This window comes from Homo sapiens, chromosome 11 (assembly GCF_000001405.40).
Source record: "Homo sapiens chromosome 11, GRCh38.p14 Primary Assembly".
Lineage (NCBI taxonomy): Eukaryota > Metazoa > Chordata > Mammalia > Primates > Hominidae > Homo > Homo sapiens.
This window is the reverse complement of record NC_000011.10, coordinates 35,321,464-35,344,151: the sequence shown is the minus strand read 5'-3', so window position 1 is coordinate 35,344,151 and position 22,688 is coordinate 35,321,464. Positions and strand designations below refer to the sequence as shown.

Here is a 22,688-nt window from a genome sequence, read left to right as displayed (position 1 = left end):
CCCAGAGAAGATGCTCAGCAAATGTCTGTTGAATGGGTAAATGCATGAACAAATTAATAACTTTGATTATACTTAGGTCTCACCTGTAAAAAAAAAAAGTTTTAATGATGGGTAAAAAAGGATCTGAGTTCTCAGTGGGGCCACTTCTCAGCCATGTGTCTTGGGTTCCAGACATTTCATCTGCTATGAAATGATCACCTGACATTGTAATAGATGTTTAGGCAGAAGTTTTCAAGGGATTTCACAATGCTTGTACATCATTATTAATTTCTGTTTTTCGAATACACCAGATCTGTGTGTGTGTGTGTGTGCCTGTGTGTGTCTGTGTAAAAATGTGTGTGTGTGCCTCTGTGTGTGTGTCTGTGCACATCCTGGTGCACAGATACTATTATTATTATTATTATTCTGGTGCACAGATAATAGGTTATCTCCATTTGAAAATGGGGATGCTAATACTACTGCTACTGATGTGCTAGGGTAGGTCCCCAAATTCCCAGGGGACCTCCATCCTGGTTGGTGTCCAGGCTCTTGACACCAGAGCCAGAAGGAATTCAAGGACTAGTCAGGAAAATAGTGAAAGTATGGAGAGTTATTGCAAGTGAAAAGTATACACTCAAGAAAGGGGAGTGTGTGTGTACTCAAGAAAGTCATGCCCAGTGGGGTTTGCGGCTTCTAACTTTACGAGTTTCTTTAACCAAGGAGTGGAATATTCATGAAGGTTCCTGGAAAAAGGTGAAGATTTCTCAGAACTGTGGTGCCACCCATTTTTACACCAAATATGGTTGTTTCGGAACTGTCATGGTGCTGGTGGGTGTGTGATTTGGTATGTTAATGAGTGTATAATGAGGTCCTAGGTGAAACCTAGGTCAAATCCAGTGCTATGTTGGGTCCAGTCGGTCCTAGCCAGCTTGTCCCACATCCTGTTTTTCAGGGTCTTTTATCAGCCCCTAGCCTATGCTGCTAATTCAACAGTTTCCTTTTTGCTAGTTTTGTGAAACTGCTTCTATTCTCCTGCAACCACCCTGTATTATTCCTGTCTCACTACTGACACACCAGTGTGGTTTTTGTGACTTGTCTGAAGCCTCACGATGTATCAGAGCAGGATAGTGATAGAAGTCCCTCTTGCAAACTCCAGTTCCACTCTAGAACCATTAGTGTTCCATTCTGGAAAAGATGTCCTAGTAGTTGAATATAGGTGGTCAAGACCAACTTGGGGCTAGTATTTTCTGACACATGAACTTGAGTGTGAATGGGATATAATTGCGTCTGCTACTGAATGTGTAGGGTTAAAGTTCAGAAAAGAGATGCTGCATTCTTCTCTAATCTTATAAAATTTCATTTTATTTTTTTAATTTTATTTTTTTGAGACAAGGTCTCACTCTGTCGCGCCCAGGCTGGAGTGCAGGGGAGTGATCACTGGTCACTGCAGCCTCAACCTCCAGGGCTCAAGCGATCCTTCCACCTCGGCTTCCCAAAGTGCTGGGATTACAGGCATGAGCCACCACACCTAGCCATTGTTCTCTAATCTTACATGAGGCAGCAAAAGTTACCCCACTAGAAATTATTATGCTGTGGCTCCTTTTGAACCAAGGCAAAAAAAACAAACAACAAACAACAACAACAACAACAAAAAAAACACTCATTTGAGAGGTACATTACATCTGAGAGAAATAAACTCTGGTCTCTTCTAGACAAACTGCTTTGATTTTCAAGCATAAACCTCAGACTCATTTTGGGCAGAAAGTTACTTTTTGTCGGTATCTGCATCGGGTGAGCTTGGAGGTAAATCTTCACACAGAGCTTAGTACATCCTGGATAACTTCCTTTATAAATGACAGCTTCTTAGACTCATCTTTTAAAAGTTAATATTTTTCTTGTTAAAACAAATGCTGTCTTCTTCCAAACATCTTAGATGGCTGATTCACCATTTCTTAAAAGTAGTTTTAATTGTACAGCATGATACATTTATATGCATTATTTTAAACGTAAAAGCCTAGCAAAAACCCTACAAAAATATATAAGAATCTCCATTTACACACCTGTCTGCAAAACCCTCATCCATTCCCAGAGGTAATCCTTGCCTATCATTTTTTAACTTTTCTTTCCAGAATTTCTTTCCAAACATTATAAATATACACATGCATATGCAATTTTCAACTTCTTAAATACATCTTAGATATTTTTCCATATCAGTTCATATAGCAATGCATCCTTCTTTTTAACAGGTCCATACACTTTCATTGCATCAAAATATATCAGAATTTATTAAGCACTCCTCTATTGATGACATTTAGGTTATTACTCAGTTTTTTACTTTTATAAACAATTCTGCAAAGAATCGACATCTTTGTGAACATACATCCACATTTCTCAAGACAGATGTTAAGAAAAACATTTTGGGATGTGAAAAGGTATTACATATCTTAAATTTTGATAGAAACTACCAAACTTACCCCCAACACCCAATACCGGTTTGGACTCCCATGTTAAATTTACCTGTCCTTGGCAATCACAGATGTTGTCAACTTTTTAAAGATGTTTTGTCAATTTGATGGCAAAAATTGGTGTTTTCACTTACTCTGCCCTGATTGCTAAGGTAGTTGAGAGTGTTTTTTGCATGCTGCTTGTGATGTTCTATACCTTATTAGGTTTTTTTAAAAAAATATTTTTAAATTATACTTTAGGAAGCGGAACATCACACACCTTATTAGGTTTTTAACAGGGTTTTAAACATTTTCGTGAATACGACTATTTCAGAAATGCTTCTTCTCCAGGGTTGCTATGCAGCTGGTAGTTAAAATATGCCTTCATTTATTAGTATTGGTAGGTAGTAAATACTTAAATACTTGTTGGTAAGGTGCGCCAACCCAAGTTCACTTTCCTCGATCTTAAGTCTCGTTACCCCCACTTCTCCCCTCTACCTCTCCGGCCTGGGACCTCCCTAGGAGGCAACAATTAAGAGGTTAATATGTAGCACTTCGGGGCGAACCTGAACCTTCCAGAGGCTGCTCTAATGCAGTTCCAGCCTCTATTCAGATAGTTTGGCATATTGATATACCATTTAAAAAATATTTTGACAAGTCCCTTCCCCGCTGTCAACCAAATGTACTCAATCTGTGTTTTATGTAAGTTCCTGGCGTCTGGGAGATTCACAGTAACATACTGCTGGTTTGCTCCTTGAACTGGTCACTGCTTTGTTTGTCAATTTCTCAGGATTATGCTTACATAATTTCCTTTTGACCTTAGCCTCCACACCATAATCCCAGGGGGCACACTGGGGGAATAAGATGACCCTTATGTAACTTGTTACATAAGAGTCCAGAGAAGCTGGGTCTCACTTCAGTGTCTGCACAGTTTTCTAAGAAAGTTCATTTAGTTTTCTGTTGTCTCTTTCAATCAATAAATTCTTTAAAAAAGCATTCCCTTTACTTCTGAGATGCCAAAGGGGAGGGGGGAACCAGGCCAATACTGATTGCTTCTTTGTAGTTGGCACTTAATGGAAGTGATCCCATCTAATTTACGCTACAATCTTTTTCCTTTGTATGGACAAGGAAACTGAAGCTCTCAGGGACTAAAGTGAGTGGCTGAGGATCATACAGCTAGAAAGGGGTAGAAGTAGGCTTTAAAGCCAGACACAGGTTCTTCCTACAGAATATGTGTGTGATTCAGAATTGTGCAGGACAGCTCTGTTTCATGTCCTATTCTTTTGAAGTGATAGACATTGTCCACTGACTATACTAAAGCAGATAGGGAGCTCAGATCATTCCATGGACTTCAAGTCCCTTAGAGGCCAGACTGTGGACAGCCCTTTTATCTCTGTGCCAGCGTTGCCCTGCCCTGGCTCCAGCAGTGCCCAGATGGACTAGAGGCCTTTGTGGCCTGTATTTTGGACTCCTTCCTATCACCCTTTGCCCTTTACCTCTGGCTTGGCACTGAGTTGGGGCAGACACCAAAGGAACAGGTCTCATGTAACATCTTTTCCTGACATGAGCTGGGTCCCGTTGCTTCTTCTCTCTGCTCAGAGAAGTGACACGTGAGCAGAGAGCTCATGTCAGTGTGTCTGCATGGCTGGTATTACAAAGCCTCAAGGAAAAAAGCTTAACAAGAAAGCCTGAGGAAATGGGGTTTTGGTCATTTAAATTTTAGGGTCATTGAGGGATGAAGCCAAGAGGGCTTTGTCGTTAAATATATTTTTGATAATTCCCTCTTATTTTTAATCCTAACATTGAAAAAGCAATAAATGCACATAGGAAAACATTTAAACAGAGCTAAGGAGAATACAGTGATCTGTGAGTCACCCTCTCATTTGAGATACCCATTTTCTCAGTTCTCCCTAGAAGCTGCTACTCTCAGCAATATTCTGTGATCTTTCCAGAAATATTACTTGTAATCTCTATATATACAATTATACATGTATATATTTGTGCTTATCAATCTTCTGTGTGTCCAATATCCATCCCTCCATCCATCCATCTGCCCATCCAACTTATGCTCAACTCTCATGGTTGAAAATCATTAAAAAATGCTTGAATCCATTCTCTCATTTGATGTGGTGTGTTGAGACCAGTGGACCCCTGACAGAGGGTCCTGTGAGTCACCAGGATCCCTATCTGAAACCCAGTCCTCATGATAAGGTCCTCCAGCTGGTAAAGGTGTAACATTGAGCCACACACTAACCAAACATCTCCCTGAGAGATTCTGTTTCCATACCCTGCACTGCATGTTTCCTTCTGGAGTCTGTCCCCTTCAAAGCAGAGTATAAGAAGATGCCCTGTGGAACGGATAGTTCCAGTTAGGTTTGATTTTATGAAATCTCTTCTTCAGCAAAATCTGTCCTGACTGACTCCTTGACACAGAAGGGCCCTGACCCACAATCTTGTTCACCGCATTGAGATTCCCTGATTCCATGTTTCTTGCTGAATGACTAAATATCCCAACAGAGGGAGGTCAAGTTTCTCCCCAGCAAAAATTTTTCCCAGTTAAATGGCAAGAATGAAGAGCTGACAAATGGCTATGACATCACTCTTTGTCATAACTTGCCCCAAATTACTGCATGAGAAGCCAGTACTCTACTGGGTCTTGCCATGGGACAGTCATAAGTAGAAAACAAGATGATCCCCCAAAGAATTGCCCTTTAGAGAGCAATTCAAAGACAGGAAAATCACCCGTTGGTTGTGTCCCTGCTTCTAGCCAGATCTTCTAGAGAGCTCTAGATGCTGACCCCTTCATCTTGAAAAGCTCAGTGGAGACCTGGGTCCTAGCCTCTGCCACTTACTGGTTATGTGATCTTGATCAGGTGTATCTTAGTGGGTAAAGTAATTGTGTCTATTTCAAAGGACTGTTTTGTTTTAGTTGCAAGTGAGGGAAGCCTACCTTAGTCTGACTTAAGTGAACTAGAGAATATATCAGCTTGTTAACCAAAGAGTCTAGAGATAACTTTAGGTGTATCTGGATCTAGGAGCTAAAATCTTATTATTAGGACTGATTCTCTTTCCATATCTCCTTGTCCTCAAACAAAGGCAGGTCATTCCCTTATAAGCTCCCGGCAGCTCTGGACACATCCTAGCAGCTAAGAAACCTCAGCAAAGAAGAGCTCCTCCTTCCCACTTTTTCTAGCCAAAGTCTTAGGACTATATCTCACTGGACCAACTTGGTCCACATGATCACCCACAAATCTATGTGGTTATGAGGATAGAGTATCCTGATTCACCAGTCCTGAGATGGGCATGGGTCAGTTCCATCCAAACCATAGGGACGGGAGTTAGAAGGGGAATTGCCCTGAGAAGTCGAGAGGATAGAACCAAAAGAGTAGCAAGCAGACACTAGGGAGGCAAAAAACAACAGATTTGTTATGTAGGGTCTAAAAGAAGGGGGTCAACAAGTGTTTTCTGTAAAGGGTCAGATAAATATTTTAGGGTTTCTGTTGCAATTACTCAACTCTGCTCTTGGAGTGCAAAAGTAACCGTAGACAATAGGTAAACAATAGGCTTCGCTGTGTTCTAATAAAACCTTGTTTATAAAAATGGGCTGTTGACTGGATTTGGCCCATGGCTGTAGTTTGCCAACTCCTGATCTATGCAGATACTACAATCTTCTTGTCCCACATATTCTAGAGACCTGAACAAATAAGATCTGGCACATGCAAAGCACTTAAGAAATGCTAGTTATTATTATATTGTTATTATTTATGCTATACTAAGGATAATAACAATGATAATGTTGATGGTAATTATAATACTAATTAGATAATGAGATATGATGAATTATGAGTCATAAGTCAGCAGTGTATTCCAGGACTGTTTCTAAACTGTTGGTGGAGCTTCCCCTCCACATACTCATAGAGCTGGAAGGCAGGGGAGAGGCATCCAACTCAAACATCTCATTTTATAGATGAGTCTTAGGCTCAGATAAGAGGCAGCACATGCACAAGTTCACACAGCAAGCTGGGGCAGTTTTGGAGTTTGCAGCTGTTTCTTCTGCAACCTTAAAGGACTCTACCCTATAGGTAGAGTCTGTTTACACCTACTGGTACACCCATGGTACACCTGTTATACCATGGTACATCTAGTACATTTGAACATGCAGGTGTAGTTAGATAGATATTCCTTGAGTTTTGGATCCATACTGAGTAGTGTGGTGATACTGTTGGTAATATTCCTGAACTGGTGGAAAGACCTGATTTGTGACTAGCATGTGTTATATGACTCATGAGAACTCCCTGCTGCTGAGATGACTCAGATGTCTGTTTTACACAAAGATTACCAAACACCTCTCGCCACGTTTGAAAACAATGAATAGTTACTCACTGCCTTTCTGACTACCCTCTTTGTCACTATTTCTATTCGCTTAGCATGCTGGCAGCCATTTAAACAGCTAGTCTTCTGTTTGGCTGGATGTTGGTAGGAGGAGTCTTCTTTAATCCCCCATCAACATGGATACAGAGAGGCCTGTGGGCACTTTTCTCTGTACTCAGTGTAGACCCATTCATAAAATTCTTCATGATTCTGGCAAAACCCTCCCTGGATTTTGGTTAACCAGCAGCTCTGCAGTAGTTTAGGAGGTGGATATTTTACAACCACAACTCTTTAGCTCTTTTTTTCCCCAAATTTATTTCCAACTTTCATCACTCAGGGTCATTTACATAAATCAATGCAAATAAATATTTTTCTTGAGTTAAAAAATGTTGTGGAATCTGCTGGTCCCAAGTACTACAGAGACCTCAGTACACTGAATGGAAAATTTGGGATTTGGTTTACTGTTCTAGGCCAAGGGTCAGAAAACATTTTTCTGTAAAGGGCTAAAGAGTAAATATTTTAGGCTTCATGGGCCATATGGAAAGCCATGAGTTGCTGACCCCGGCTGTGAGTGCTTGTAATTTATAAATATAAAATTGGAGGATGGAGTATTTGAATTGGCTGCCTAGTTACTTGAGCATAGTCCTACAAACTAAAGTCTTGGATTTGGGCCAATGTAGGTTTAGCTATGTGATTCTGATGCTTACTAGGTCATTTTAGGCACATTGGTGGCCTTAGTTCCTTGTCTATAAAATGAGGATAATAATAGCACTCTATCTGTTTGTTCCTTCCTCCTACTTGCTTATAGAATTGTTGTTGTGAGGATCAAACAAAGGAAACCACTTATCTCAGAGCTAGTATGTTCCATAAATGTTGAGAGTATAATCAATACTGTTATTAATATCAAAGCCCATTGGGTGAAAGCAAGTATTCAAGAGCAAACAATTAATGAGCTGATTGGGTCACCTTCAAAGGGTTCTAGATAGAGATCATCAAGAAACCTTTTTTCCTTCTCTTTTTAATTTTAATTTTAATTTTAGTTGTGGGGTACATGTGCAGGATGTGCAGGTTTGTTACATAGGTAAACCTGTGCCATAGCGGTTTGTTGCACTTATCAACCCATCACCTAAGTATTAAGCCCAGCATGCATTAGCTATTTTTCCTAATGCTCTACCCCCACCCACCCCACCCCCTGAGAGGCCCAGTGTGTGTTGTTCCCCTCCCTGTGTCCATGTGTTCTCATTGTTCAGCTCCTACTTATAAGTGAAAACATGTGGTGTTTGGTTTTCTGTTCCTGTATTAGTTTGATGAGGATAATGGCTTCCAGCTCAATTCATGTCCCTCTGAAGGAGATGATCTTATTCCTTTTTATGGCTGCATAGTATTCCATTGTGTATTTGTACCATATAAGAAACCTTTTTTCAGCATCTTCTGTGGGAGGATGTCTGAAGAGACTGGATCAGATTTTTAACAACATTTTTTAATTTAATTTTTTAAAAATTTTATTTACTTAATTTTTTTGAGACTGGCTTATGAGACTACCTAATTTTTGTTTTTGGTAGAGACAGGGTTTCACCATGTTGCTCAGGTTGGTCTTGAACTCCTGGCCTCAAGTGATCCACCTGCCTTGGCCGCCCAAAGTGCTGGGATTGTAGATATGAGCCACTGACTTGGGTGAGACTGGATCAGATTTTGCTTGGCATTGTTGTGAAGACCCTGGTAGTAACTCATGATAGACTGTCTTCCTTTCTCCAAAAAATGAAGCCTCACATTATTCAAAGGAAAATCTCAAATTAAAAATCCTTTCCTGAGCATTTCCTTCAGCTATAGAGTTCAGCTAAATGGCATGCCCAGGGTCTGGATCATCAACACAGTCTGAGGTGATGAGTGATTACAGGCCAGAGGAGTACTGGGACCTCTGCTAATTTGTTCCCCGTGACTTCATCACAGCTGCCCTTGGTTGTGCAATTGCGGTTGCTATGGCTGAAGTTTGAAAGAACTTGGCCTGAAGCTGCCTATATGGCCAATATCTTGGGGGAAATATAGCTTTCAATAGATAGGTTTTATGGGTATTTGTGAAGAATTAGCAGCTATGAGGTTGAGGTTGGGTATGTTGATGAGACTGGAGGAGAAGTTTGCTTGAGAGTGGCAAAATACAACAATACACAACAATACACACACTTCCCCCCCATCAATGCATACACTCTTAACTACTTTGGACAATTGAAGGCTATGTCTATGATGCTGTAAATAAAGAAATATTGAAGAATGTTATTCTCATCTTAAAGTATCAGGTTCTTTCAGCTGCCATATTGTAATGAAAAGGGGTTGGGTTTGGATGAAGACAGACCAAGGTGTGATTCCCAGCTGTCTACTCCTAGCTACCCGACAATGGAAAAGTTACTTAACTTTGCTTTCTCATCTGTAAAATGACTAACAGTCACTTCTCATATTGTACAAAATGTCTGTCTTAAGGGATGTTGCAAAACAAAACAAAACAAAACAAAACAAAACAAAACAAAACAAAACAAAACAAAACAAAATTGCTCTCCAGCCAGACTCTACAAGCTGTGAGTCCAACTCACCAAATCTTCACATCCTGCCCCCCAAAGTAGACTGGTAAAGAAAAGGCTGAAGTCATGTCTCAGCATTTGAGCATTGCTCTCTAGTCATTGCTCTAGAGAGTTCTAATCTTGGGGCTACTGATAATAAGGGGCCATGCAGAGAAGATAGTGAAGCCCTCCTCCACCCGCTGTAACCTGCTAGTCAGTCATCAATGATTCTTAAAGCACTGCCTCTGCCTGCTCTCAGGAAGGTGAGATGACGCATCACTTGCTTTTGTTTTCACACCTGTCCCCTGGGAACCTTTGCTCAAAGTTGTAAATTATGTGACATCTTTAGTAACAACAACGTGATTCGCTCTGTTAAATCACTCCCTACCTGCTTGTAGCCTGGTGAATAAATTTTCATTCCTTTTTTGAAGATTTTACTTAAGCATATGAAGAAAGCTCCCATCTGTACAATGATGGAACCAAAAGGGACAGGGGCTGCTAACTTAATGAGAGCCAGGCAGGTATGCACATGAAATCAGGAAACAGTTTGCTTTCCTCTTAACACTCTCTTCAGAAAGACAGCAATGGAAGCCTGATGATAAATAGTAATTGACACTTCGCATTGGTGTCAAGGAGACAATAAGGGATGGTGGGGACTGTGGCAGACTGGAAAATCCATGCCTATCTAAGGGACAATCACTTCTTAGTTCTATCTGATTGTTGCCACTCAGGGATCTAGGTTTCATAATTATAAGTGGACAAAACCCTTTAGTAACTTTCAATAATAATACTGAAACAAAGTGCATTGAAGTTTACTTAAGAAAAACTTAAATGAGCAGTGGCTTGCACCTGTAATCCCAGCACTTTTGGAGGCCAAGGCAGGTAGATTACTTGAGGCCAGGAGTTCAAGATCAGCCTGGCCAACATGGCAAAACCCCGTCTCTACTAAAAATACAAAAAAAAAAAAAAAAAAAAAAATTAGCTGGCATGGTGGTGCATGCCTGTCATCCCAGCTACTCGGGAGGCTGAGGCATGAGAATTGCTTGAACCTGGGAGGCAGAGGTTATAGTGAGCTGAGATCGTGCCTCTGCACTCCAGCTTGGGCAACAGAGCAAGACACTGTCTCAAGGGGAAAAAAAAAGAGAAAGAAAAACTTACATGATTAACAATATCTTACTATAAATTAAAGGGTTTTAGAATAAATTTCCAACTCTTCGTCATTAACATTGTTAAAGTTACTGCTTATTTAGCTTAGCAATAAAGAAAAGGAATCCTTATCTTAAGGTGAATAAATTCTGTGACATCTGTTAATTTTGGTATAACAATATAGGTAAAAGTTATGTTTTCTTTTTGTTTCTGTTTATGGTTTTTGCTTTTTTTTTTTTTCCTGAGGCAGAGTCTCATTCTGTCACCCAGGCTGGACAGCAGTGGTGCCATCTTAGCTCACTGCTGCCTCCGCCTCCCAGGTTCAAGTGATTCTCCTGCGTCAGCCTCCCCAGTAGCTGGGATTACAGGCATGCACCACCACACCTGGCTAATTTTAGTATTTTTTTTTAGTAGAGATGGGGTTTCACCATTTTGGCAAGGCTGGTCTCAAACTCCTGACCTCAGATGATCCACCCACCTTGGCCTCCCAAATTGCTGGGATTACAGGTGTGAGCCACTGTGCCCCCTCACTGCACCCTGCCAAAGGTTATGTTTTTTGAGTAGCTGCGAAAGAGACCTGTTCGGAGAGTGAATACTTGATCAGCTGTGTGCGGATGGGGAATGAGACCACTCCAGGGAGCCAACCTGAGGAACAGTTGGCAGTTGTTTGAAGATCCACCAGGTTTAGCTCAGTGGGCTAAGGAAGTTAAGAGCGAGAACTGAAGTAAAAGAGAAAGAGGAGAGAGACTCTGAAGAGTATGGGGAGGAAGAACAAATTTGCTTATAATGAAATTGTATTGCATGTTCTCTAGGTAGCGTGTGCTGCAGACTTCTTCCCTTTCTCCCCATAAAATACAAAAACAATTTCTGCCCTAAGGAACTGTGGAGTCGAATCTGCTCTCAGATAAAGGACAATGGGCTGAGTGTGTGTTCAGGGCAGATGGGGAGAGGGAGGATGGAGGAAGAAAGCATGATTGTCCATGGCAAAAAAACCCTGCCATTTCTGTGTTAACTCAAAGCCCTAGAATATATTTGAGTCCAGAGATCTCATCTGGACTTATCTGTAAGTCTTATTTGACCCCTCTGTCTTAATTTTGTCATATACATAATTCAATCTACCAGCTTTTGCTGAACACCTATTAGGTGCCTGGCATTGTACATGTCATTATATAGAGGATTCAAATAAAAACAGGACATGTTCCTTGCTTTGATGTCATAATTTAAGAGTCAACCTGATAAGTCACTCGGCGAGAAACTATCCTCAGCATAAATTTGAGACTTTACGAGTTGAGCAGGAACAAGCCTTTCTTCCAAGGCACTTGGGATGAAGGCTTTTCACCTCAGTTGCTAAGGAATTAAGTGGTGTTGATGACCCGGTAGCCAACATACCACATCATCACCACTTCCAGGCTGTTGAGGAGACGTGGTGCTGCTGGAATGACTTCAGGAAGTGCATAAAAATTCAAGTCATGATCACTTGTGGTAATTAGAAGCCCTAGTTGCTTTTGGCAAGGTCACTAAACATTAGTTGGAGCTTCTGGTGGACTTCAGGTTTCCTGATCCTTTCCTTGTGCTTTGTTTAGGCTTCTGTCCAAAGCCATCTCCATGGGAGATGCTTAAGCTGATAAGGTCCTGCCACTCGCTGTCAGAGGCACCTCCCAGTCCCTGCAGACTTGGGTCCCCTTAGTACCTCCAAATCACTAGTCTCTCAAAAATTCTTATTAAACACCTAACATGGACAGGGCCCAGGGATAGATGTATGGCCCTTCCTTCACAGAGTCTAAGGCCTAGTGGGAGAGGCAAACCATATGAATGTGATGAATTGTGCAACGTTAAGATCTCAGAGGCATGAAAAGTAGATTGGGGGCTCAGGAAAAGATTATTCGAAGAGACAACATCAAAGAGTCACTTAAGATTTCAGGTTCGAATGTGCGAAGTAAAATATTCCCCAAACACCACGAACTGCATCTGTGTATGGAAAAGGTGGGAAGAGAATGGATCGTGCAAGAGGATGTATTGCACTTGTGGACTGTGCCATATCAGCACAAAGCCCTGTGAACCAGCCTGTCTCCACAAGCTACCAGAGTGATAAATATACATTCTTCTCTTAAGAAGAAATTCTCCTGGTGAGAACATTACCCTTCAGGGGTGACTGGATGGCTCAGTTTATCACTTGTAAATTTAGCAGATCAAACTAGTTGAGAAGCAGTTGGGCAGTCAGTAAACTGACTGGACTGCTGGGATCAACAGGGACTGGATGTTTAGTTCACTTTCAATAGCCACAAATTTAGCAGCTCATTAGAAGGAACCAAAGTAAAGAACTGCACAAGTCCTCTGGGAGGCCTTGAAAGGCTTCCATGGGCGATGGAAGCCATTTAGAGGCATGGTGTTGCTGAGCCTTTTAAACACGTGATTAGCTAAAGAGAGAAAGATGTTACTTTGGTCTGCATTTCTCTAGGGCAGGAGGAAGTGAGGAAGGGAGGAGCAGAACACTTCAGCCTACATCTCAGGAAGGGAGGCTGAGAAGCAGTGTCTGGCTGAGCATGCTGCTTCTCTGAGCAGATTTCTAGAAGCAGCAGAGGTGTGGGTGTGGACAGGAAACTCTCTATGTCTATCACCTTCTGCTGAGGCTTTTTGTAAACAACAAATGAGATAGTGTAGCATAAGGTCTGGTACTACCTTAGTTTCCCATTGTTGCAGTAACAAATGATCACAAATCAAGAGGCTTAAGACAAGACAACTTATTATCATATAGTTCTGGAGGCCAGAAATCTGAGTTGGGTCTCACTGGGCTAAAATCAAGGTGTCAGCAGGGCTGCATTCTTTTCTGGAGGCTCGGAGGAGGAGTCTGTTTCCTTGCCTTTGCCAGTTTCTAGAAGCTTCTCACATGCCTTGGCTCCTGGCCCTTTCCTTTATCTTTAGAGCCAGCAACATTGGGCTGTGTCTTTGTCATGCTGCCATCCTTCAGTTCTTTCTTTTCTGTTTCCCTTTTTCATGCATAAGAACCCCTGTGATTCCACTGGTCCCACCTGGAGAATTCAGGCGCATCTCCCTATCTTGAGGTCAGCTGATTAGCAACCTTCTTTGCAACTGCAGCCTTAGAGCCCCTTTGCCATGTAATCTGACACATCCACAGGTTCTGGGGATTAGGACATGGACATTTGTTGGGGCATTACTCTACCTATCACTGGTACAGAATAAAAAGTCAATAAATGGTTCTATTCATTACCAGTACTCCCTACCACCTTCTTTCTCTACTGTGAAATTACCTATGCCCTTCAGTTTTTCAAAGGCAGGGCAGAAGCCTCAGCTCTGGTAGAATCTGACGTGCTGGAGGTTGAAAGTGAGAAAGGCAGTCTTTGATGGGCTTAGGGGAGTGGGGAAGTGACCAGCCCTTACCTGGAAGGTTGTGTGCAGGTCTGGGAGGCACAGGCAAGTAAGTAGCTTGAGGTGCTTTAACCAGGATAGTGACAAACTTGGGAGAAGAGAAAACCCTGAGCAGAAACTTCATATGCCTCAAAGGTTGGTAGATGGAGAAGGGATTCAGCTTCATTTTCTGTAAGTGTCGTGATTAAGTGTGTGCACCTTGTTCAGGCCAAGCTGGGTTGCCATCCCAGCTCATCTACTCACCAACTGCCTGACTTGGAGCAAATGTGCTCCTCTCTCTGACCTCCAGTTTTTCATCTATAAAGAAGGACTAATAATAGTAGCTATCTTGTGAGAGTGTTGTGGGAAGTCAATGAAATAATGCATGTAAAGCATCCAGTACATTGTCTGATGGCAACTGTTATTATTAGGTAGCTCCACAGGATAGAAAAATAACCTGTGGGTAAAAGCTGCAGGGAAACAGATATAGGCTCACCATAAAGGAAGGGCTTCTTAATAGTCAAAGCTATCCAACGGCGGGATGGTTAGAGTAGAAGTGATAAGCTGCCCTGCACTGCAACTGTTCAGGCATTGACCAGACATTGGTATGTGGATTAGCTGCAACAGTGTCATCTGGGTGCTTTTGCAAAAGCCCAGAGGTCTAGGCCCCATCCAGATGTGATGAATTGGAATATTCAGGGATGGGGCTTGGAGATCTGTTTTGTGCTTTGTTTTGTTTGTTTTTATTTAATATGCTGTTTTTTAAAGAGTAGTTTTAGTTTTACAGGAAAATTGAGTGGAAAGTACAGAGAGTTCCCATATACCCCTGCTCACATTCAGGTGCAGCCTCCCCAACTGTCAACATCACCCACCAGAGTGGTACATTTATCACAAGCGATGAACTTACATTGATACCTCATTATCATGCAGAGTGCTTAGTTTACATTAGGGTTGGCTCTTGGTGTTGTACATTCATGGGTTTGGACAAATGTATGATGATGTGTATTTACCATTATAGTAACATACAAAGTATTTTCATTGCCTTAAAAAATCCTCCGTGCTTCACCTATTCAGCACCATGCCCCTCCATAGTTTTGCCTTTTCCAGAATGTCATATAGTTGGAATCATACAGTATGTAGCCTTTTCAAATTGGCTTCTCCCACTTAGTAATATGCATTTATTTTTCCTCCATGTCTTTTTTTGGATAGATAGTTCATTTCTTTTCAGTGCTGAATAATATTGCATTGTCTGCATGTACCATGGTTTATCCATTTGCCCACTGAAGGATGTCTAGGTTGCTTCCAAGTTTTGGGAATTATAAATAAAGCTGCTATAAATATCCCTGTGCAGTGTTTTGTGTGGACATAAGTTTTGGAGATCTGTATTTTTAACAAGTGATCCAGAGACAGAGTTGGGGCCACTAGACCAGATAATCATTTGTCCAGAGGCTGAGAGGGGACAGGAAGACTCTCTAGTCCAGAAATTCTAGGGTTCCATGACTGTTGTATGTAGCTCTTGGATCAGGCTCTGGTTTGGACTAGGTGTTAACTTTCTTCTCTCTGGGATCCTTCCCATCCCCCAACAGCAAAATCACTCTTTTGGCCAAATGTTCAGTGTCGATGTCTATTGCTAGCATGAAATTGCCTAATATAAAGAGCAAGTTTTCTCGGGCTGGAGGGAGAGTGGGCTGACCAGTTTTTCCAAGTCCAGGACTGACAGGGATCAAATCCTAGCTCTACCATCCATTACTTTTGTGACATTGAGCAAGTAACTTAACCATTCAATGACTTCATTTTTCCTTCAGTAAAAGTTGCTGATAGTAGTACCTATCTCCTGAGGTTATTGTGAGAAATCAATAAGTTCATATATAAGAAGACTTAGAAAAATACCTGGTGTGAAGTTAGTTTTGAGTAAATGTTAGCTGCTGTCATCATTATTGTCACCATCATTATTCTTATTATTACCAGTTACCAGACATTAGGGTCCCTCTGATGGGGGAGTCCTTCCCGGTGAAGAACCAGAGTTGGAGTGAACCCTTGAGGTTATTTCACAGCAGCAAGTGCTGGCTGAGTCAGTGGGAATAGGATGGTTCCTGTGTGCCCTCGTTGCCTGAAGGGAGGAGTCAGTTGAGTGGATGCCATTTTCTTATGATGGTACATCTGGGGCCATGGCACCAGCAGCATATATTGTCCAAGACAGACAACAAGGCCATAGCTCCCCAGAGCTCACTTTGCCTTTTCTCTCATTTAGCAGCACTTCCTCTCTCTATCTTCCCTCTCCATGTGCTAGAATGCAAGTCTCATAAGTAGCTACCTAGTGCCTTGGTGTAGATGGTAGTTCTAACATGTCCATTGCTCTGTAAATACCCCAAGAAAGAGTATACCCATAAAACACTGGACTCAAAGGCAAAGGACAGCACAGGTTTAACTTTGCTGCAGAACCACAGCACAGGTTTAACTCTGCTACTTCCAAGCTTCATGAGCTTGGGCAAGTTTCAGAATCTTCTGGAGCTTCTGTCTTTTCATTTCTAAGATAGAATAATCCTTCCCTCTCCGGGATGTCATTAACTCTTGATGAATGCAAAAACGCTTTTTAAATGACACAAATGTTATTATTAGCTTATTTGTTAGAAAGTTAAACTGATGAAATGTTGGTTATTATTTACGATTGAAAGATGAACACAAGGAGAAGAGTCTGCTTGGGTTCCTGTTATGGAAGACAAGAAAGGAAATGTATGAGAGTTCTTTGCTGTTATGGGCATGGAAGAGTAGAAGGAAGATGAAGGCCACAAACTTCTTCTTTGGCCAGTGAGGTCACTCTGTTATAACCTGGACTACCTTAAGGCCCCGCTGTTTTGCCTCATCTGAAGGAGATGTTTACATGTTCCCAAAGTATAAGGTGTTCTTTGGGCAAAATTAGTACCTGTTCTTTTGCTGGGAAATCCACCAGTATGGGAATCAGCCATTTAAGGCCAAAGATAGATATACTATATGTATTTACTTCTAACACCATAATTTAATTTGCCTATTTTTCAACTTTAGCTCAAGTTTAGCACTCAGACAAAAAAGCACACAAATCTTACATGAATAGTGTGATTAATTTCCACAAACTGCACACTCATGTGAAATGAGCATCTGGATTAAAAAGGAAAAAAAGGAGAATAAAATTGCTAGCATTCAAGAAACGCTGTGGAGGCCTCAGAATTTCAAACACGGTTGACTTCAAGACTGATCCTGGCAATGGTATGCAGTTAGCAAAGTTTACGTCATTTATGTTTTGACATCTCCTTTTGTCTGGCTTCCAGATATGGTTCTGTCCAGGACCTATATTAAGGGGTTCCTCCAGACAATTCTATTTTGGGGGATGGATTGAGAATCTCCTTTATACTAAGGTGTCAGTGAATGGGTTGCTTTTTCCGTGAGTTTCTGGCTTAAATCTGGGTCCTTGGGTGGAATCCAAAGGGATAGTTCTCTCAAGGAGGAAATTTGGGTCTCTGGGAGCCAGAAGTGGGTGACTTTGAAGGTCTCCAGGGAACTTTTGAGGAAGCTCTTAAACATCATCTCACAAAAGAATTGTGTGGCGTTTTGAATGCCTGCCATGGTAAATCTTGCAATTTGCAAGGTCATGGTAGTGACTTGCCTTCTTGCTTGGGATTGATGCTACATTGCCTGGTTGGCTGCTCAGTCTAGAAGGAAGAAAAAAGAGACAGACTGCACTGAAGAAAAGCAGTTGTAAAGTGTGATAAAAAGACCCAGTCCTGGCTAAGGTATACAGCACCTCACCCAGTTTCTGCCTAGTGCCTGAAGGCGCTGCAGCTAATTAAACCACCTCTTAGTCAACATCCCAGTCACTCCCATCTGGGAGACTGATTGGAAAGGCTCAGTTTGAGAAACTTCAGAGGCTAGAAGAAACTCCCAGGCCTGAGGGCCAAATCCTGAGCTCTTTTAACCTCAAGCTCAGGGTTCCAGTGGCTCTTGGAAGGGGAATGAGTACTCATGCTTTCTAGCAGAAGGACCACATTTTGGAGGGTCCAATTTAGAGATGTTGATGCTTGGTAGTTGGGTCCTAAGATATCCTTCACGGACAAGTGCATCTTCCCGGGTCCTCATCAGTTTCCCCAAAGGCCTTGTTGGGTGAACCTAGAGTGGTTCCTCGTTCCATCTTCCCTCAAGAGTGCTGGGAGCATTGAGGCCACCATCCTTGGTCAGGGCAGCTGGATCACAACCACCAGCAGAAAAGAACCAGACCTGCTGTGATGCTGCCCGTTTCTGCTACACACTGGTTTTCCCAATGCAGGTGTTCCCTCCTTTTTTTTTTTTTTTTTTTTTGAGATAGAATTTCACCCTTGTTGCCCAGGCTGGAGTGCAATGGTGTGATCCCGGCTCACTGCAACCTCCACCTCCTGGGTTCAAGTGATTCTTCTGCCTCAGCCTCCCGAGTAGCTGGGATTACAGGTGCCTGCCACCATACCCAGCTAATTTTTTGTATTTTTAGTAGAGACAGGGTTTCACTATGTTGGCCAGGCTGGTCTGAAACTCCTGACCTCAGGCAATCTACCCGCCTCAGCCTCCCAAAGTGCTGGGATTACAGGCATGAACCACTTCACCTGGCCCGCCTGCTTTTTACAGGACGTGACTTCCCCACTTGAAACCATTTCTGATATTCCTTCTCTCATTTCTCTCTTCTTCTCAGATTTGTTAGCCTTCTGGACCACTACCTCTTACAATGGAGTGTCACAAAGAACCTGTGACAAGAACATATTTTAACCTAATCATCCATTCATTCATTCCTTCAGGCAACATAAACTAATTGAGCATCTACTATGTGCCAGGAAGATGCTAGGCATGGTGGAGACAGAGACAAATAAGACACAGTTTGTCCTCAAAGTGTTTATGTTCTAGTGGGGAAAACATACAAGTAAACTGTGAAAAATGCCTTGAGAGCACAGGCGACATGGTAAACTGCATCTACAAAGCAAACCTGGGAGTCATCAAAGGCTTCCTGAGGGAAGTCATTCCTGAGTTATTTGGAAGGAATAAAAGTTGGTCTAAGAAGGCTGGGTTGGAGGGTGGGTAGAGGATGTTTTAGCTAGCAGAGATGGTTTGCTTCAAGGCAAGCTGGCTTATTCATCTGGAAAGGGGCCAAGTTGCCCCGGCTCAAAACCCAGAGTGCATGCCACATGAATCTTCCTCAGCTTGTTGATGTTGTGTGAAGTTATCAAATGTATTTTCGTCTTGTTCCATGAACCAGAGGTGGGTAGCCATTACTTCAGAATTGACAGGCCTTTGGGGACTAGGCTGGCCAATATGTTCCTGGGCCATGGCATAATCTTTATTTTTAGAAGAGGTTCCCAATTTGAGATGATCAAACACCCCACCCCAGTCTCTCATTGGGCCCTGGAGGCTCATTGTTACTTGGTGTCTTATTTCTGTTTGGGGTGATGAGTCTATCTGGAAATAAGCAAATTTGTTGGGTCAAAGCTGGCTAAGTCTCTGCCTGGGGAAGGATTTCACAGAAGTCCAGAGGCCATATCCTTAAGGTTGTACTCCTGATGTCTTTTGAGGGGTTATCCAGTCATTCCATCATAGGGAGGCTGATGGCAGTGGGACCTTCCCAGGCCCCCACCCACTCTGGACCCTCTGGGACTTTCTGTTTGTAAAAAGCACCAGCACCAATGTATTGGCAAGGAGATTTACTAAAACTCAACAGTGAGTAAACTCTCTTACTGGTCATTTTGCATCATATGAGGGATTTCAGGCAAAGAAAGGATATTAAAATTGAGTATCTACTATATATCAGATACTATATCAGTGCTTTCATAGATATCATCTCACTGGAGCTCTGTAATGACCCAGTGAGTTGCATGGTTTGTCCAAATGACTAAATGTCTTGTCTCAGCCACTGCCAGAAAAGAGACATTTTAACCAAGAATCAATGGCCATGTAATTATGTGATTGCATTCCACCAACTTGTCTTCTGACAGTTACTCATCAGAGCTGGTGTTTTAACATCTGTTTCTGAGCCAAACAAATACAACTTTTATTGATCCCTTGAAAACTTTGTCTCCTGCTACTTTGTCTTTGCAGCTTCTGTGTAGACACCTGAAGGCTCCACTGGCTGTATACCTGCCATTCATTGTATTAGCTGGCTTGGGCCACTGTGCTTAGGAAGCAATATGGAAAAAAAGGCTCTTCTCCTTCGATTTCTCATCTTATCTTTTCTGAGTGCCACCTCACCAGTTCCACAGTAATTGACTGTGCCTGATGTAGGTGGTCTCTCAATGACTTAGTGGTAAGTTTAGCACTTTGCTGGTCCCAATGCCAGTTTACCTGTTTGACTGTGTTCCCAAGGCATTGACCTGCCCATGTTAGAAATCTAGACCTGAGAATGGGTGAAGGATGGATGAGGAATTAGAAGATGCTCACGTCTGAATTGTGTACTGAATTTCATCCCAACCCAGCTTTATTGGCCCTAGAAAAACATGCTTCCGTAACAGATAGGACAGGTTAAAAGGAACACAAAAACATCAAGAAATGGTTGTTGTTATTGTTGCTGTTGGTTTGTCGCTCATCTCTACCTTTCCCTGTGAGGGTTGTGGTATAGCTACTGAGCTGTCTCATGGCGAATGAAATGACTTGTCTTCATGGTCAGCTCTAAGCTTATTCCATCGTGGGTACCTAGAATGGAATCCACATCTCTAGAACTGAATGCTACTACTATCCTTTTCCCTACCTGGAGAATTAGAGAATCACAGGATTTTAAATGTTAAAGAATTTCCAATTCAACCCTCTTATTTTATAGATTAAGAGAATGGGACCTAAAAAATAAAAATGGGCCAAAATTGATACTTAAACCTTATTGATATCTTACATTAGAACGTGTTTTTACCATTTCATAGCAGTTTACCCTACTGTCTGTTGATCACAGAAGGTAACATTATATCCATTTTATCCTCATACTTTTCCCCTGACACACCCATTTAGCAGCCGTCCTGGAATTAGAACACAGACTTCCTGACTTCCAGTCCTATCCTGGCCCAATACCATCATGATTCAGGATAGCTATACACTGTATTCTTTAACCAGCCCCTCGAATGGACTGGAAGAAGCTATAGAAAAGAGGTTTGTGAAGTCTGGAGTGCCTCACCAGCAGGACCAGAAAGTAATTCTGTGATTTAGCAAATGAACGCTGTGAAGACACAATGAATAGAAGAAGGGACTGAAGGAGACTTTGGAGGCTGTCACCCTTTAAGTTTCATTTGCAGGATCTGTGACAACACGGTATCTGTCAGAGAGAGACTGACATCTTGGTTGGTAAACATCTTTGACACAGTTAAGGCAGGTCTTACAGGATCTAGGAAGGGTGGAGGGATTTGCAGGCTGTTGGAAATGCCAGAAAGTCTTAGAGTTTCAGGCCCTTTTAAAGCAGGGGTGGCATTCTTCAAGGAGCTGGGGGAAACCCTGGATGTGGGACAATCAAAGCTGAAATCTCTGCTTCCTGGTTCTTGGTGCTCGAGCTGATGCAACAGGTATTTCCAGCATTCTTATCCAAATACAACAACTGTCTTACGGGAGAGGACCTGCAGTGAGCACTGTTTTTGTTCTTGATTCTAGGGTGACCTAGTGTCTTCCAGTAGGGCAATCTCTGGACATCTTTATCTCCCCAGTACCTCTCCAGATCCTGAAGCCTGGGGCCAGGGAGGAGAGGTTAGATGTCAGCAGTGGAAGGACAGGTGGGTGAAGCCCATTGCAAACCTCACATCCTCCAGGAGAAACACACCAGTTGCTTTTAGGCTCCCTGGGGAGTGTTCTGTTGCCACCTCATCAAATCAGTGAAGGTGGAAAAAAGAGTTTGGTGCCAGCTAAGGTGACACTGAAGTGTGCAGCAGGAAATCTGAATCCAACACCACATCTAATGAGCCTATTATTACAGGCTATTGGCAAAGCAAGGGAAATCGAATGCTAATGAAAAGCAGGTTCTGAGAATAGTTTAAAACTTAGCGTTAGCCCCATTACACGTTCCCTTCTGAGTCACAGAGGATGATTTGCACGATAAGCTGAGCTTGCCTTGAACCAGGACTCACGTGGATTTGCATGAGAAAGAACTGGGCAGAGATTGCAATATTAACAGCTGTTTAAATAATTCAATGGAGAGGCTAAGGCTGAAGGAAATTATGGGCTCATTGTTAAAAGTTTTTAATTATCCCAACAGCTGTCCCATCACATGGCCTTACTTTGTTAGGCAGTGGAGGCCATTTGAGAGATCGGCCTGAGTTGGCGCACTGGAACTTCCAACATTAAGGCATTGCATTGCTAATATTCCTCAATTTAGGAGGCAGTCAAGCAGAAACACAGATGGTGGGCAGTGTCAGAGAGCATTAGCCTCGAGGGATTTGGTGGACCCAAATCCAACCTGGGTTTTATTGCTTTGTTCTGTGTGCACAGCCACAGGACATAGGAAGGGAATATTAGTAAAGGGGTAAGCGTGCCCACTGGACGTGACTTACTGTGTATCCGGTGGACTTCCCAGACCAGATTTGGCACTTTCTGCTCATTGCCATGGGAGCAAACCTGCTGGCTGTTGTGACCTTAGGCTTTCCATCTGTATCCAACTCACCTCTTCCTGGTAACCATATCTCTTAGGGGGCGCTGAAATAGTCATTTAAACCCTCATAATATTCATGATGGTGACAGGGCCCAGCATGACTTATTACATATTCATTTGAATCCATGTAAAAATCAACATGTGGACCCCAGAGTGTGCATCTGGGTGGGAGCTTTAGGATCTTGGTAGTAAGACAGATTTCCAAATTGTGTATGTTCCATTTAT

At 42.3% G+C, this 22,688-nt stretch overlaps 1 protein-coding gene across 15 annotated transcripts in view, besides 1 other annotated feature; it reads left to right on the top strand.

The window, feature by feature from the left end:
• Nucleotides 1–22,688, top strand: part of SLC1A2 (solute carrier family 1 member 2) — a 169,303-nt gene that overhangs the window by 76,356 nt on the left and 70,259 nt on the right. Inside the window, exon 2 of one of the 15 annotated variants that reach the window (NM_001195728.3) lies at nt 21,473–21,591. The exons of the other annotated variants lie outside the window; for them this stretch is intronic. The gene's annotated coding sequence lies outside the window, so the exon portion shown is untranslated. The remainder of the gene's footprint in view (nt 1–21,472; nt 21,592–22,688) is intronic. 15 annotated transcript variants of the gene reach the window in all.
• Nucleotides 13,207–13,766: an enhancer, noted in NCBI's record as "OCT4-NANOG hESC enhancer chr11:35351933-35352492 (GRCh37/hg19 assembly coordinates)". NCBI's record gives its function as "activates a minimal SCP1, AML or CMV promoter by ChIP-STARR-seq in naive H9 embryonic stem cells {active_cell/tissue: H9 hESC(naive)}" and the evidence as "EXISTENCE:reporter gene assay evidence [ECO:0000049][PMID:30033119]".